The sequence below is a fragment of the Homo sapiens genome, chromosome 7 (assembly GCF_000001405.40).
Source record: "Homo sapiens chromosome 7, GRCh38.p14 Primary Assembly".
Lineage (NCBI taxonomy): Eukaryota > Metazoa > Chordata > Mammalia > Primates > Hominidae > Homo > Homo sapiens.
Genome location: NC_000007.14, coordinates 74,057,942 through 74,074,141, shown reverse-complemented (window position 1 = coordinate 74,074,141; position 16,200 = coordinate 74,057,942). Strand labels below are relative to the sequence as shown.

General features: G+C 54.3%; 1 protein-coding gene and 1 long non-coding RNA gene across 56 annotated transcripts in view, besides 4 other annotated features; one reads left to right on the top strand and one right to left on the bottom strand.

Annotated features, from left to right (window-relative positions):
- ELN (elastin) overlaps positions 4,235-16,200 on the bottom strand; it is a 41,735-nt gene continuing 29,769 nt past the window's right edge. For 33 of the 55 annotated variants that reach the window (XM_011515868.3, XM_011515873.3, XM_011515872.3 and 30 more), the window contains 11 exons: positions 14,095-14,256; positions 13,958-14,002; positions 13,641-13,766; positions 13,003-13,041; positions 10,918-10,989; positions 10,773-10,832; positions 10,447-10,521; positions 8,410-8,448; positions 8,145-8,198; positions 7,366-7,410; positions 4,235-5,485 (listed from right to left, as the gene is read on the bottom strand). In XM_011515868.3, the coding sequence (XP_011514170.1) occupies positions 5,442-5,485; positions 7,366-7,410; positions 8,145-8,198; positions 8,410-8,448; positions 10,447-10,521; positions 10,773-10,832; positions 10,918-10,989; positions 13,003-13,041; positions 13,641-13,766; positions 13,958-14,002; positions 14,095-14,256 (761 nt within the window). In that variant the 3' untranslated portion in view covers positions 4,235-5,441. Of the gene's footprint in view, positions 5,486-7,365; positions 7,411-8,144; positions 8,199-8,409; positions 8,449-10,446; positions 10,522-10,772; positions 10,833-10,917; positions 10,990-13,002; positions 13,042-13,541; positions 13,767-13,957; positions 14,003-14,094; positions 14,275-16,200 lie in introns of all 55 variants that reach the window. The other 22 variants (NM_001081754.3, NM_001081753.3, XM_047419965.1 and 19 more) reach the window with 5 other exon arrangements.
- Positions 11,527-12,027: an enhancer, noted in NCBI's record as "H3K4me1 hESC enhancer chr7:73476445-73476945 (GRCh37/hg19 assembly coordinates)". NCBI's record gives its function as "activates a minimal SCP1, AML or CMV promoter by ChIP-STARR-seq in primed H9 embryonic stem cells {active_cell/tissue: H9 hESC(primed)}" and the evidence as "EXISTENCE:reporter gene assay evidence [ECO:0000049][PMID:30033119]".
- Positions 11,689-11,983: an enhancer, noted in NCBI's record as "tiled region #6518; HepG2 Activating DNase unmatched - State 4:PromP, and K562 Activating DNase unmatched - State 20:ReprD". NCBI's record gives its function as "activates a minimal TATA promoter and a strong SV40 promoter by Sharpr-MPRA in HepG2 and K562 cells {active_cell/tissue: HepG2 | K562}" and the evidence as "EXISTENCE:reporter gene assay evidence [ECO:0000049][PMID:27701403]".
- Positions 11,694-11,886: a silencer, noted in NCBI's record as "fragment chr7:73476586-73476778 (GRCh37/hg19 assembly coordinates)". NCBI's record gives its function as "represses an EF-1alpha promoter that drives an FKBP-Casp9 reporter gene in an ReSE screen in K562 erythroleukemia cells {active_cell/tissue: K562}" and the evidence as "EXISTENCE:reporter gene assay evidence [ECO:0000049][PMID:32094911]".
- ELN-AS1 (ELN antisense RNA 1) lies at positions 11,862-15,237 on the top strand. Its single transcript, NR_183555.1, has 2 exons — positions 11,862-11,932; positions 14,110-15,237. It is a non-coding gene; the product is annotated as an ELN antisense RNA 1 (long non-coding RNA).
- Positions 12,028-12,528: an enhancer, noted in NCBI's record as "H3K4me1 hESC enhancer chr7:73475944-73476444 (GRCh37/hg19 assembly coordinates)". NCBI's record gives its function as "activates a minimal SCP1, AML or CMV promoter by ChIP-STARR-seq in primed H9 embryonic stem cells {active_cell/tissue: H9 hESC(primed)}" and the evidence as "EXISTENCE:reporter gene assay evidence [ECO:0000049][PMID:30033119]".

Sequence of the window (16,200 nt, the reverse complement as noted above, 5' to 3'; positions counted from 1 at the left end):
GTGTCCAGGCTGTGTTATTCTTAAAGCAGTGCCCATCTTAGAGTTTACAGTCTGGTGTAGAGAGACAGAAAACAAAGAAGTAAAATATATTTTGTTTATGGTGACAGGTGCTCTGGAGTCAAAGAAGGCAGAGACAGGCTGGGCGCGGTGGTTCATGCCTGTAATCCCAGCACTTTGGGAGGCCAAGGAGGGTGGATCACCTGAGGTCAGGAGTTCAAGACCAGCCTGGCCAACATGGTCAAACCCTGTCTGTATAAAAATACAAAAAATATTTGCCAGGCATGATGGCGGGTGCCTGTAATCCGAGCTACTCAGGAGGCTGAGGTGGGAGAATTGCTTGAACCCGGGAAGTAGAGGTTGCAGTGAGGTGAGATTTTGCCATTGCACTCCAGCCTGGGCGACAGAGTGAGACTCCATCTCAAAAAACAAAACAAAACACAAAACGGAGGTAGAGCCAGGTGAGGGAGTAATGAGCAGAGGAGGAGGGTGCAGCTTGCAATTTTATTTATGTTTTAAATAGAGATGGAGTCTCGCTATGTTGCCCAGGCTGGTCTTGAACTCCTGGCCTCAAGTGATCCTCCCACCTCAGCCTCCCAAAGTGCTGGGATTATAGGCACAGGCCACCGCATCCAGCCCAATTTGCAATTTTAGAAAGGTGTCAGTGTAGGACACTCTGAGAAGGTGACACCTGAGTCAAGACCTGAAGCAGCTGAGTGAGCCAGAAACACAGATAGCTGATGAAAGGGCGTTTTGGGCAGAAGAGATAGCAGATGCCAAGGCTGGCAGTGGGTGACCTGTTGCACTCAAGGAAAAGTAAGATGGCCAGGGCGACCGCATGGCTCGAATAGCAGAATGTGAGGTCAGGAGAGCTGCTGCCATGCAAGTAGGGGCTTCTTGGCCATAGAAAGGCCTCTGGCTTTGTCTCTGAGTGAGACAGGAACCACTGCAGGACTTGGAGTAGATGCATGACCCGAGTTGACTTATGCTTTGAAAGAATTGCTTTGGGCCAGATGTGGTGGCTCATACCTGTAATCCCAGCACTTTGGGAGGCAGAGGCAGGAGGATCGCTTGAGGCCAGGAGTTCAAAACCAGCCCGGCCAACATGGTGAAACCTTGTCTCTACTAAAAACACAAAAATTAGCCAGGCATGGTGGCACATGCCAGTAGTCCCAGCTACGCAGGAGGCTGAGGCAGGAGAATCTCTTGAACCCGGGAGGCAGAGGTTGAGTGAGCTGAGATCACGCCAATGTACTCCAGCCTGGGCAACAGAGTGAAACTCCATCTCAAAAAAAAAAAAAAAAAAAAAAAAAAAGATTGCTTTGGTTGCTGAGTGGAGAGAAGGCCGAAGGGGAGCCAGGGGAGAACTAAGGGGTTCAGGGAGCTATTTCAGTAATTCAGGCAAGAGATACTGGGGATTGTGGCTTAGCCCTGAGACGTGGTAGGACTCTGGATATATTCTTTTTTTTTTAGACAGAGTTTCGCTCTTGTTGCCCAGGCTATAGCGCAATGGTGTGACCTCGGCTCACCGCAACCTCTGCCTCCCGTGTCCAAGTGATTCTCCTGCCTCAGCCTCCTGAGCAGCTAGGATTACAGGCATGCACCACCATGCCTGGCTAATTTTTTTGTATTTTTAGTAGAGACGGGGTTTCTCCATGTTGGTCAGGCTGGTCTCGAACTCCCGACCTCAGGTAATCTGCCCACTTCGGCCTCCCAAAGTGCTGGGATTACAGGTGTGAGTCAGTGTGCCTGGCCAACTCTGGATATATTCTGAAGGTGGTGCCGTATTATTTGCTGGTGAATCTGCTGTGGGGAGTGAGGGAAGAGCAGAGTCAGAGATGGTTACAGAGTTGCAGGCCGGAACCTCTGGAAGAGTAGGGCTGCCCTTTACTGAGATGGGAAAGGCAGGGAGGGAAAACCACGCTACCTAGGCCATGTCTATGAGATTTCTAGGTAGAGATGTTAGAATTGGCCTTGGATGTGCAAGTCCTGGGCTCAGGGGAGCGGTCATGCTGGAGATGTCAATTGGAGAGTCACCAATGAATAGGTCGTATTAAATATTTAAAGCCACGAGCAACCAGCTGAGGTGGCTCACACCTGTAACCCCAACACTTTGGGAGGCCGAGGCCAGGAGTTTGAGAGCAGCCTGGGCAACATAGCAAGATTCTTTGTTTTTTTTTTGAGACAGAGTCTCGCTCTGTCGCCAGGCTGGAGTGCAATGGTACGGTCTCGGCTCACTGCAACCTCCGCCTCCTGGGTTCAAGTGATTCTCCTGCCTTGGCCTCCCAAGTAGATGGGATTACAGGCATGCACCACCACACCCGGCTAATTTTTATATTTTTAGTAGAGATGAGGTTTCACCATGTTGGCCAGGCTGGTCTTGAACTCCTGACCTCATGATCCGCCTGCCTCGGCCTCCCAAAGTGCTGGGATTACAGGTATGAGCCACCACGCCTGGCTGCAACATGGCAAGATTCTATCTCTATAAAAAAATTTAAAAATTAGCTGGGTATGGTGGTATGTGCCTGTAGTTGGGAGGATTGCTCCAGCCTGGGAGTTTAAGGCTGCAGTGAGCTGTGATAGCACCACTGCACTCCAGCCTGGGCGAAAGACTGAGGCCCTGTCTCTGATAAATAAATAAAACCGCAAGCTATGAGAAACCAAGACAGGGAGTCCACAGGCCTGAATGCTGGGGCTTACTGACTTTTAGAGGCCGGAGACCTGAGGAAAAACCAGCAATGGATATTTTTGTCGAGTGAAGTAATGAATGGATGGATGGACTGGTGGGTGGATGGATGGGTGGATAGATGGATGGATGGATGGGTGGGTGGATAGATGGGTGGGTGGGTGGATGGGTGGAAGGAGACATGGATGGATGGAAGAATGGTTGGGTGGGTGGGTGGATGGGTGGGTTGATGGGTGGGTAGGTGGACAGATGGGTGGGTGGATGGGTGGATGGATGGATGGATGGATCTACTTTGTCACCACTCTAGGGCAGGCTGTGTCACCCCTCCCTGGATTATTACAGCAACCCTCTTGTGCATCTCCTTGAACCACGCCGCTCACCCCCTCCTGATCATCCTCCATAAGTCCTCAGCACTGCCCTCTCCTACCAGACATCTAGTTGTCCTGTCCTCTGCCTGAAAGGCCTGACCCTCCTCTCTGTTCTATTCTTTGCCTGGTAAAATGTTTTTTGCCCTTTACTGTCCTCTGGGAAGCTCTCTCTGAGCATACCCTCCACCAGCTTTCTCTTTCCCTCCCAGCTCCTTCTGGGATCGCAAGGATCCTCGTATGCAAACCCACATATGCTCCAGTCTGCATGGTGAGCCCCACCCACACTCCCCACGAACAGCTCTGTTGCCACATTTCTGGCTTAGAGGTGTGCACACTCAGCACGGGGCCCGCTCTCAGGAGGGTGGCACAGGCCTGAGGCTGAGTGAGCCCTGGAAGTGGGCTTGGTGGTTGGGGAAGGGAATTCCAGTATCTGGTATCCAGAGCGTGGTCTAGAGGTAGGGATGTGGGCTGCAGGTGAACACATTCCCGGGCCCCACGGATTTCTGGCCTCAAGGGGAGGAGGAAGGGCCAGAATGGGAATGGGTGCATCTGAGTAAGGGTGGAGCTGAACCTGCTGCTGGGTATCACTTCTTAAACTTCTCAAGCCAAATGGCCTTACATGGCCACGCATGAGAGTGGGTCTTCCTCAGAGGGGACTGTTTCGGAGGAAAATGGTTACCTTTGACTGTCTTCTGCATTTTCTTAGGTCAGCCATCTTTCCTCTCTGTCTCTTTCTGTTTCTCTCTCTCTCTCTCTCGAGACAGGATCTTGCTGTCTCACCCAGGCTGGAGTGCAGTGGCGCAATCATAGCTCACTGCAGCCTCGAAATCCTGGGCTCAAGCGATCCTCCCACCTCAGCCTCCTGAGTAGCTGGGACCACAGGCATGCACCACCACCAATCTTGGGTAATTTTTTTTTTTTTTGTAGCTATATGGTACAAAGTGATTCTCCACTGGACAGCTATGTTGTCCAGGTGGGTCTCAAACTCCTGGCCTCATTGTTAAAGTACAAGCCAAACTTGGAGAAAGATCGATGCCCCAGAAGCCAGCAGCAGGGGCTTTTGGTTGGGCAACCTCTCAAATACACTGTGGGTGGTGGAGGTTCCCTGAAGCAGAGCCCTTATCCCCATCCAGGCCAGCGAGTTGAAGGCAGATTAAATCATACGAAGGAAGCTAAGACACAGTTTCCTTTAAAGGTTTTTCATTTATTAGTCATTTCTGAAGCAGTTAATTCTCTTTTCTTATTAAAAAAAAAGGTGTGTTTCATCCAGAGTTATATTAGAGTGATTAAAATGTTTTTTCTACTGGGGATACAGCTCCCCGGATCAGAAAAAAAAATTATCTTTTTTTTTCAATGAACCACAACAATAAAACCAAAAGAGAATATCAACAATCAAAAATAATCCCCAAATATCCAGGACAAAAAATAAAATATTTATTGATCTATCACAGCGAGACACAAAAAGATGGGCGGGGCAGGAATGGGAACTGCTCTGAAGTTCAGTGGACCGAGGGAGGGATGGGGGGTATACAGTACTGCATGTGGGGACACCCCGGGTGGGGAGGAGATGCCTGGCACCCCAGTCTGCACAGCCCCGCACGCCCTGGGGGAGTGTAGGATGGGGGTGGAGGCAGGGCACAGGCGGCCATGACAGGTCAACCAGGTTGATGGTGGGTGCACCCAGCCAGCTAGTGGTGCCGGGCGGTCAACTGGGGACATGGATGGACGGACCGATGGATGAATGGACGGATGGGCGGATGGATTCTACAAGGGCAAGGTGGCTATTCCCAGTGTGGGGTGGTTTTCCAACCCAAAAGCGCCCCAGATGTGGGGAACAGCGATCGGTGGGGAGGAGACGGCCAAGTGGACCCAGGAGAGGAGGGATGCTAGAGCGAATCCAGCTTTGAGGCTTCAGGTGCTTGGGTACCAACTGGATGGCAGCCAACGGTGGGTCCTGGTGGGCAGGGGGAGCTGGGACTGCCCAGGAAGTGTCTGCACCATCTTTAGAGGAGCCCCAGGTAGGGGGTTCCCCGAGGGGCCACCCTTCCCTCCTCCCTCCCCCCAGGAAGATAAGAGCACCAGCGTGTAGCACCAAGTTCCCCTGGAGATGGAGGCTGTGTGGAGGGGGAGCTCCTAGGTGGGAAGGGATGGGGTGGGGGGCCAGGACCACATGGCCCTTGCCTCTGAAGTAGGGGGCCTCCTGGTCGGGGCACTTGGCCGCTCCCCTCTTGTTTCCTTGCCCTGTGGATCTGCAAGGCCGCCCGGCCTGCCCGTTCCCTCCTGGGGTGGGGAGTCGGAGGGGCATGGGATGGGGTTACAAAGGGTTTACATTCTCCACCAAGCAGTAGCACCAACGTTGATGAGGTCGTGAGTCAGGGGTCCTAGGAAGCTCATTTTCTCTTCCGGCCACAAGCTTTCCCCAGGCAGGCCCCACCTGGACGGGAGGAGGTGCACATCACTGTGAGTCCGGCCCCTCTCAGTTTCGGCTCTAATCCCCGCCTGCTCTGACCCACTCGAATGGAGGCTCCAAGAAGCCAAGAGAAGCCAAGTCATGGCCCCAGGCCAAACTCAGACCTGATCCATGCCATCAACTTCCACTGGACAGATGGGGCGGGAGAAGCCCCCAAGATATTACTTGGATGAAACCAACGCTCGCAGAAAAGGGGGCAGGTCATGGGGCCTGGCTGGGGAAGGACGGGGCCTGGCACTGGCTCCTGGCTCCACTGCTCCAAGAAGCCTTTCGGGGAAAGGCTAAGAGCAGCTCCATCAAGGAACATGGGATGAAGGGAGAGTCAGTGTCTGCAGGAGACGGCCCTCTCAGGGAGTGGGGTGGACCCATACATCTGAGAGGGCATCAGATAAGTAAATCAAGGCCCAGTAGAGGGAGAGAGGGTCTTATCCACATAGTGTCTGAGCTGGGACTCAAACCCAGGATTCCTACCCCCTCCTGGGAATAGTCTGATGGGTGAACCCTGTTTCAAGGCATCAGTCTGTATTAGGTAAGGCACCATTGTCTAGTAGCGCGGCCCGGAGCAGTTCCTAACCCTGCTTGAGCCAGATATGGCTCCTTACCGCCACCTGGTGGCAGTGAGCAGAGAGTGGGGCAGGAACAGACATCTGCCTCTGAAGGTTTTTTTTTTTTTTTTTTTTTTTTTTTGAGACGCAATCGTCTTGCCCTGTCATCACCCAGGCTAGAGGGCAGTGGTGTAGTCTCAGCTCACTGCAACCTCCGCCTCCTGGGTTCAAGCAATTCTCCTGTCTCAGCCTCCAGAGTAGCTGGGATTACAGGCGTGCACCACCACACCTGGCTAATTTTTTTTTTTTTTTTGAGACGGAGTCTTGCTGTGCCGCCCAGGCTGGAGTGCAGTGGCGCAATCTCGGCTCACTGCAAGCTCCGCCTCCCGGGTTCACACCATGCTCCGCCTCCCGGGTTCACACCATTCTCCTGCGTGAGCCTCCCGAGTAGCTGAGACTACAGGTGCCCGCCACCATGCCCGGCTAATTTTTTGTATTTTTAGTAGAGACGGCCGGACGTGGTGGCTCACTCCTGTAATCCCAGCACTTTGGGAGGCCGAGGCGGGCGGATCACGAGGTCAGGAGTTCGAGACCAGCCTGGCCAATATGGTGAAACCCCGTCTCTACTAAAAATACAAAAATTAGCTGGGCGTAGTGGTGTATGCCTGTAGTCCCAGCTACTTGGGAGGCTGAGGCAGAAGAATCGCTTGAACCTAGGAGGCAGAGGTTGCAGTGAGCCAAGATCGTGCCACTGCACTCCAGCCTGGGCAACAGAGCAAGACTCCATCTCAAAAAAAAAAAGAAGACTATAGTATTTTTAGTAGAGACGGGGTTTCACCGTTTCAGCCAGGATGGTTTCCATCTCCTGACCTCGTGATCCACCTGCCTTGGCCTCCCAAAGGGCTGGGATTACAGGCGTGAGCCACCACACCCGGCTAATTTTAGTATTTTTAATAGAGACAGGGTTTCGCCATGTTGGCCAGGCTGGTCTTGAACTCCTGACCTCAGGTGATCTGCCCTCCTCAGCCTCCCAAAGTGCTGGGATTACAGGTGTGAGCCATCACACCTGGCCATGAACTGTGTTTTTAAAAAGCAAATGTTCCCTGTGTTTATAAGAGGTCAGCAAGAAGGAGGGGAGGCTCTACATTCAGCTCGGGGTCCAGCCTCGTGTGACCTGAGGCTGTGGGGTCCACCCCTGGGTGCTGGCTCAGCCCTTCTGAGCAGGAGATGGCACAGGAGAGGAGGGAGGAGGTGGCTGCAGCTCCAGGGCAGGGCCCAGGGGCAGGGAGCCTGGCATACCTGGGAAAATGGGAGACAATCCGAAGCCAGGTCTTGCTGCCACTCCTGCAGGAGAGATTTCAGGTTGGTGGGTTGGTAGGGGTGGAAACTGACTCCAGCCTCATCACTTTCTGCCTGCACTGGCTCACCCAAGACCTCTGTCTGGGATCACCTCCTCTCCATCCCCCCCACTATATAATTTTTTATATTTTATTTTATTATTATTTTTTTGAGATGGGGTCTTGCTCTGTCACCCAGGCTGGAGTGCAGTGGTGCGATCTTGGCTCACTGCAACCTCCGCTTCCCAGGCTCCAGTGATTCTCCCGCCTCAGCCTCCCGAGTAGCTGGGATTACAGGCGTCCACCACGTTTGGCTAATTTTTGCATTTTTTTTAGTAGAGACAGGGTTTCACCATGTTGACCAGACTGGTCTCGAACTCCTGACCTCAAGTGATCCACCCACCTAGGCCTCCCAAAGTGCTGGGATTACAGGCGTGAGCCACCACGCCCAGCCAATCCCCCTCACTACAGCCAGAGTGGCTTTCTCAACACAACATGCCGCCACCTAGCAACCAGGTGTGGCACCTCATGGCCTCAACCCTGAGCTCAGCCTGGCACTGTCCCCAACCTTATAGCTTGCCCGTTTGCCCAGTACATCTGCAATCCTAAAGTGCCCTCACCAGCCCCAGTCTCCTGTCCTTGTGTGGACATGGGCTCTGGGAGTCCCCACTGCTAGATGGACAGGCCCCCTCTAGATCGGGACAGAGCTGAGGACTACGTAGCAGAGCTGGCCACCCCTACCTCCAAGTGGGAACTGCCCGGCACCCCCTAGGACACCTCCAAGGCCAGCAGCACCTGAGAAGAGGCAGGTGGGGTCAGGATAAGACACCCCCATCGGGAAGAGGCCCTGATATCCCTGCTGGGTTCTGGGTTAAGGAATGTCCCAGACAAGATCTTCAGGGGTAGGGGGAGCCAGAGGGAGGCCTGAGCTGGGCTGGGGGAGGGTGGCGATGGGCATGGCAGGGGGTGCAGGCCACTGGCAGGAAGGCATCAGAGGGGAACTCACCGTATTTAGCTGCTTTAGCGGCTGCAGCTGGAGGTATACCTGGGGAGATGAGGCACATGACGGCTCAGGAATGCCAATGCCACCTGTCAGGCCCTGTCTTTTTTTTTTTTTTTTTTCTTGAGGCAGAGTCTCACTCCTTCGCCTGGGCTGGAGTGCAGTGGCGCGATCCCGGCTCACTGCAACCTCCATCTCCTGGGTTCAAGCGGTTCTCCTGCCTCAGCCTCCTGAGCAGCTGGGATTACAGGCACCCACCACCACGCCTGGCTAATTTTTGTATTTTTAGTAGAGACAGGTTTCACCATGTTGGCCAGGCTGGTCGCGAACTCCTGACCTCAGGTGATCCACCTGCCTCGGCCTCCCAAAGTGCTGACATTACAGGTGTGAGCCACTGCACCTGGCTAGGCCCTGTCTTCTGACCTACTCACCCTTTACCGTCTGCCCATGGACTCATCCTCCCAGTCTATCCCCCCATCTCTCCTTCATCTATCCAGCTTCTTGCTCTGTTGCCCAGGCTGGAATGCAGTGGCTTGATCACAGCTCACTGCAGCCCTGAACTCCCGGGTTCAAGTGATCTTCCTGCCTCAGCCTCCCAAGTAGCTGAAACTACAGGCACACACCACGCCCAGCTAATTTTTAAATATTTCGTAGAGGTGGTGGTGGGGGGGGGTCTTGCTACATTGTCCAGGCTGGTCTTGAACTCCTGGCCTCAAGCAATCCACCTACCTAAGCCTCCCAAAGTGTTGGGATTACAGGCATGAGCCACCATGCCCGGCCCCAAAAGTCTTAATTGTTAAGCTCCTACTGTGTGTCTGGTCTTGTGGCACTCACAGGAAGAGCTGTGCAGGCTAGTTTACAGGGGGAGACACAATGACAGCCCAAGAAAGGGGGAAATGGCCACACAAGGTCGGCCACCATGGTGGAGACTTAGGGAAAGCAATTTCTCTCCAAGCTTTGATTTCTTTCTTGGAGAACTGGCATAACCATCATTCTCCTAATTTACTCCCACCGCAGTGGTCAGGTGGGTTGAAAGAGAGAGGAGAGGGGGAGGACTGGGACCCTGGCGGCAAGGGATAGCCCCAGCTCCCGTTTGCCACATTTCTTGTTTTTATTTTGTTTTGGGATGAGGTCTTGCTCTGTTGCTCAGGCTGGAGTGCAGCGGCGTGATCTTGGCTCACTGCAACTTCTGCCTCCTGGGTTCAAGTGATTCTCCTGTCTCAGGCTCCCGAGTAGCTGGGATTACAGGCGTGTGTCACCATGCCCAGCTAATTTATATACATACATACATACATATATATATATATATATATATTTTTTTTTTGAGACGGAGTCTCGCTCTGTCGCCCAGGCTGGAGTGCAGTGGCGCGATCTCGGCTCACTGCAAGCTCCGCCTCCCAGGTTCACGCCATTCTTCTGCCTCAGCCTCCTGAGTAGCTGGGACTACAGGCGTCTGCCACCACGCCCAGCTAATTTTTTGTATTTTTAGTAGAGACGGGGTTTCACTGTGTTAGCCAGGATGGTCTTGATCTGACCTCGTGATCTGCCCACCTCAGCCTCCCAAAGTGCTGGGATCACAGGCGTGAGCCACCATGCCTGGCCTCTTTTCTTTTCTTTCTTTCTTTTTTTTTTTTAGATGACAGGGTCTCACTCTGCTGCCCAAGCTGGAATGCAGTGGTACCATCTCAGCTCACTGCAGCCTCTGCCTCCTGGGCTCAAGCGATCCTCTGGCCTCAGCCTCTCAAGTAGCTGGAAATACAGGTGCCCACCACCACGCCCGGCTTATTTTTGTATTTTTGGTAGAGATGAGGTTTCGCCATGTCACCCAGGCTGGTCTCAAACTCCTCACCTCTAGTGATCCGCCCACCTTGGCCTACTAGAGTGCTGGGATTGCAGGCGTGAGCCACCGCACCTGGCCAAGAGGACATCTTGAGCAAAGACGTGCCAGGGGTGGGAACGAAAGTCTCTGTCTCTGTCTCTGTCTCCATCTCTGTCTCGCATACACACACCACACACACTCACTGATTTCAGAACAACTCTCACCTCCAAGGCCCCCAACACCTGGAACTCCAAGCCCTCCGACTCCGAGTCCTCCGAGCCCAGCGGCTCCCACTAGGCCTGTGGAGACAGCTGAGCATTAGACTCCGCTGGTCAGAAAGGTGGGACTGAAGCCTCGGCCTGTGGAGGGCGGAGGTGTCCTCTGGGGACACAGGTGGAGCCTGAGGTCTCCCCTGGCCTTCGATGGCACAGTGGAGCCAGGAGGTGTCTGGGGCAGGGACTCTGAGTCTACAGTGCCTGGTCAGAAGCTCCTCCCACACCCTGGGGGCCTGGGGGCCTGGCGGCAGCTCCCACCTCCACCCAGTGCTCACCAAACTGGGCGGCTTTGGCAGCAGCTTTGGCTGCGGCAGCGGCGGCGGCGGGTCCGGCTCCTGGGAACACAGACCGAGTTCAGGGAGGCACTCTGTACTGGTTAGATTCCCTCCCCACCCTGCCCCTCCTGGGGTTTCAACTCACCCACCACACCGCCTGGGATGCCTACTCCACCGAGAGCCCCGAGCCCTCCAAGGACCCCAGGCACTGCTGCTCCTGCGGGGAGAGGAGGGAAAATGAGTGTTCCATTTCTGAACGATGGGTCTCCCTGCCCCAGGGACACAAGGCAAGCAGACAGGTGGCAGGGGCCATGTGACACTGTGGAGGAGCAGTGGACAGGAAGTCCAGTCCATATTTTGTTTCATTTTGAGATGGGGTTTTGCTCTGTCACCCCGGCTGGAGTGCAGTGGTACAATCATAGTTCACTGCAGCCTCCAACTCCTGGGCTCATGCGATCCTCCTGCCTTAGCCTCCCGAAGGTGTGAACCACTGTGCCTGGCCTTAAAAGTTCTTTTGTAAGCCGGGTGCGGTGGCTCACACCTGTAATCCCAGCACTTTGGGAGGCTGAGGCTAGTGGATCACCTGAGGTCAGGAGTTTGAGACCAGCCTGGCCAACACGGTGAAACCCTGTTTCTACGAAAAATACAAAAATTAGCCAGGCGTGGTGGCGGGCGCCTGTAATCCCAGCTACTTGGAAGGCTGAGGCAGGAGAATCACTTGAACCCGGGAGATGGAGGCTGCAGGGAGCCAAGATCGTACCACTGCATTCCAGCCTGGGCGACAGAGCAAGACTCTGTCAAAACAAACAAACAAACAAACAAACAACGGTAATAGTATCTACAGCAGGCACTTAACATTTTGAGTGCTTCACACTTAGCAGCCCATTTTTTATGCATTGCAGCAGGAAAGGTAGGCACTATTGTCATTCCCATTTTGCAGATGAGAACGCTGAGGCAGAGCAGAGGTTAAGCAGTGTGCTCAGGGCTTCAGGGACGGGAAGTGGCTGGGGAGCCTGCGCCCTTCGCGGCTCCACCACATGACGTCACTCTGTTTCCCTGGCAATGTCTGTTGACTCAGGCCTGCCAAGCAGTCAGCAGTGAGCAGGGGAGGAGGCCAGGGCTGCTGGGGGTCGGCGCTGAGGAAGCCAGGATTTTCCGAGGTAGAAACTGGCCCCAAGTGGACCTGCCCGGCTGGTTGGTGGATCCCTGGGGGAGTCTTCCACCTCCCACCAACGCTGCTCACAGGAGGCCAGGAATTCAGGGGCTACAGACAGCGTGGGTCTGGCCAGGCAGGGCTGCCAGAGCGCCAAGTGCAGAGGCTGTGGGACTGCCACGTCCTCTGGGCTGGCTCGTGGTGGGAGCGGTCCTGCTGGCAGGACAGGAAGGCGGGCGGGGGCCCGGGGTGCCCAGATGAGGAATACCAGCTCCTTTGCTCGGGCCAGAGAGCTGGGGTGGAGGCAGAGACTGCCCAGACTCCTCATACCCACAGCAGGCCCAGTCCCTTCCTGGACACAGGGACCATGTAACTGTCAGGGTCAGGGCAAGCTTAGGGATGGTGGAATTGCCTCCTGGGGGGCAACTGGGATTTCAAGGGTGTTTTTGGTGGTCACAGGGGTTGAAGGCACCATAAGCATTTAGTGGGCAGGGGCCAGGTTTTTAAACTGTCATAAACGTGTCCTAGAAACTGCCTTTTTCTTTTTCTTTTCTTTTCTTTTTTTGAGATACAGTCTCGCTCTGTCGTCCAGGCCGGAGTGCAGTGGCGTGATCTCGGCTCACTGCAACCTCCATCTCCTGGGTTCAAGCGATTCTCCTGCCTCAGCCTCCCGAGTAGCTGGGATTACAGGTGCCCGCCACCACACCTGGCTAATTTTTGTGTTTTTAGTAGAGATGGGGTTTCACCATATTGGTCAGGCTGGTCTGGAACCCCCGACCTCAGTTGATCTGCCCACCTCGGCCTCCCAAAGTGCTGGGATTACAGGTGCCCGCCACCACGCCTGGCTAATTTTTGAATTTTTAGTAGAGATGGGGTTTAACCATATTGTTCAGGCTGGTCTGGAACTCCTGACCTCAGGTGATCTGCCTGCCTCGGCCTCCCAAAGTGCTGGGATTACAGGTGTGAGCCACCACGCCCGGCCGAAACTGCCTTTTTCTATTGTGACCACCCCAGTCCTGTGCTGTCAGGGATGGTGTGGTGGCAAGGGAGCCACAAGTGGTTGTGGGGTGCACTCACCATATTTGGCTGCTTTAGCGGCAGCCAGGGCTCCAGGTACTGGGGAGAAAGAAAAGTTGGGGAGTGGTCAGGAGCCGAGCTCTGTGCCTGGGAGTTCTGCCGCCTCCTCTAGAGAGCCCTCCCTGACTTCCTTGGCCTCTATTGCTTCCTCAAAGCCCTGAAGCTGTACAGGCACAGAGCTTTAGGGCTGAACAGTGCCTCCACCTTCCGTCTGCCCCTTCCTTCTCTCCCCAGGCCTAGCATGGACTGCCTGAGGCTGGGCACAGAGTGGGGCTCAGTCACCAGCTGGTGAAGAACTGGAGTTCCTAGTGGTCCCCTGGCCACAGAGCACTGCTGAAGGGGAGCCAGGCTGATCTACCTGCTCCTTCCCTGGTTGGAGGGCAGGCTTTTTCTCAGTCTGGAGCCCTGCCACCCCTCTACTGAGGAGGCAGATACTCTGCAATTGGGCAGCCTGGGGTCCCTTGGCCTGGTCTGCCCTCCTCCCGCTATCTGTTACCCCCAGATGCTTAGGAGAACCTAACAAGGATTTTACTATGCACCCCTGGGTGATGAGGGGGTGCTGGGGAGGTGCTGAGAGGAGGAGGGATCTCCTTCCCTGAGCTCAGGGGACAGGCTCCGCCTAACTCCCTCATCTGCACCTGCCCCGAAGCCAGGAACACCAGCACCAACTCCAAGTCCAGGAACACCAGCACCAACTCCAAGTCCAGGGACGCCGACACCAACTCCAAGTCCAGGGATGCCAGCACCAAGCCCAGCTGCAGCTCCTGCAGACAGAGGGCAGTGGTGGCGACAGCAGGCAGGGAGCATGCCCCTAAGGAGGTGTCCTGCCCAGGGAGCTGAGCCTAGTCCCAGAGGAAGGGGCCCAGATCCAAGCAGCGGCCTCCTCCCTGGCTGTTGCCCCTAACCAGCTCTGAGATCGTTGGGGAGAGGAGAGAAAGGTGGGCGAGGCACTCACGGAGCTGGGCTTTGGCAGCCACCTTGGCAGCGGATTTTGCTGCAGCTGAGGGAGGGAGAGAGAGGGGGATTAGAGATGGAGGCGGGGCCCATGGAGGCTTCGGGGGCCCCTCAGGCTCATTGACTCATGAAACTCACCTGCAACTCCACCAGGGCCAATGCCGGGAGCCACGCCAACGCCAGGAGCCACACCAACTCCAGGAGCCACGCCAACTCCAGGAGCCAAGCCAACTCCAGGAGCCACACCGACACCAGGAGCCACGCCAACTCCAGGAGCCACGCCGACACCAGGAACTAACCCTGCAAGATTGAGAAGAGCTGATCATTAACCAAGACCTGATCAAAGAGGACAGAAGCTTATGGAAAGAGGGCTGGAGCCTCGGCCCTGGCATAGATTTGCTGTGTGACCCTGGATCAGTTACTTTCCCTTGCTGGGCCTCAGCTTCCTCCTCCCTAATATGAAGTGTGTGCAGGCTCAGGAGTTCATAACTTTGTTTTTTTGGAGACAGAGTCTCACTCTATCGCCCAGGCTGGAGTGCAATGGCGTGATCTCGACTCACTGCAACCACCACCTCCCGAGTTCAAGTGAGTCTCCTGCCTCAGCCTCCTGAGTAGCTGGGACTACAGGTGCGCACCACCATGCCCGGCTAATTTTTTTGTATTTTTAGTAGAGACAGGGTTTCACCATGTTGGCCAGGCTGGTCTTAAACTCCTGACCTTGGGTGATCCACCCGACTTGGCCTCCCAAAGTTCTGGGATTATAGTTGTGAGCTGCTGCATTTGGCCAGGAGTTCTTAACCTTTTCAGTGACAAGGACCCCTTGGAGATTTGAGGCTGATGGAGGCAGATTTACATTATATAAGGGACTTTGTAAGACAGAAAGGCTTTGGGTTCAAATCTCAGCTCAGCCACCATTTAGCTGTGCAACTGTAGGCAAGTTACTTAAGCTCTGGGAACCTCAGTTTCCACATCTGTAAAATGGGAAAAATAAAATCAACTCTGTAAGATTTTTGTAGGCCAGACACGTTGGCTCATGCCTGTCATCCCAGCACTTTGAGAGGCCAATGTGGGAGGATCGCATACAATTTTTTTTTTTTTTAAACTGGGCATGGTGGCATGTGACTGTAGCCCCAGCTACTAGGGATACTAAGGGGGAATAATGGCTTAAGCTAGGAGTTTGAGGCCTGCGGCGAGCTGACGGCATCACTGCACTCCAACCTGGGCGACAATGTGAGACCCCGTCTCAAATAAATAAATAATAAAGATTGCTGTGTGTGAGAATATGGGGCTCAGCAGACCTGCAGTCGAAATGCTCTCTGGCCTATTCAGTCCTAGAGATTCTGATCTGAACCTTTCAGCCCACAGGTCCCTAGGGCCAAGGCCTACAGACCCCATGCCCAGGGCCTGACATACAGTTGAGCTCTACAATTGGTGCTGCCACGATTTGCCATGTTCAGAAAAGTGTGGGCACCTGGGGCTGCCAGGGTGGCCCTCAAATGTAGCAAGAGATGGGGAACAAGAAGTACTGCAGGCCGGGTGTGGTGGCTCACGCCTGTAATCCCAGGACTTTGGGAGGCAGAGGCAGGAGGATCGCTTTAGCCTAGGAGTTTGAGACCAGCCTGAGCAACATAGTGAGACCGCTGTCGCTACAAAAAAATTAAAAAATTAGCCAGGCATGGTGGTGGGCACCTGTGGTCTCAGCTCTTGGGGGGCGGAAGCAGGCAGACTGCTTGAGACTGGGAGGTTGAGGCTGTAGTGAGCTATGATTGTGGCACTGTACCCCATCCTGGGTGACAGAGCTAGACCCTATCTCAAGAAAAAAGGAGAAGGAGAAGAAAGAAGAAGGAGGAAAAGGAGGAGAAGAAAGACGGAAGAGAAGAGAAGAAGGAGGAGAAAGAAGCAGAGGAAGAAGAAGAAGAAGGAGAAAGAAGAAGAAAGAAGGAGAAAAAGAGGAAGAAGAAGAAGAAAGAAGAAGAAGGAGAAGAAAGGAGAAGCAGGAGGAGGAGGAAGAGGGAGGAGAAGGAAAAGAAGCAGGAGGAGAAGAAGAGGAAGGAGAAGAAGAAGAATGAGAAGGAGGAGGAGGGAGAAGGAGAAGGAGGAGGAGGAGAAGAAAGAAGAAGAAGAAGAAGGAAGAGGAGCACAAGAAGAAGAAGGAGAAGGAGAAAGAGAAGGAGAAGGGGGAGAACTGGAGTCCCTCAAGGGGAGCTGGAGCTCAGCATGAGGTCAGGTCCCCAATAGCCTGGG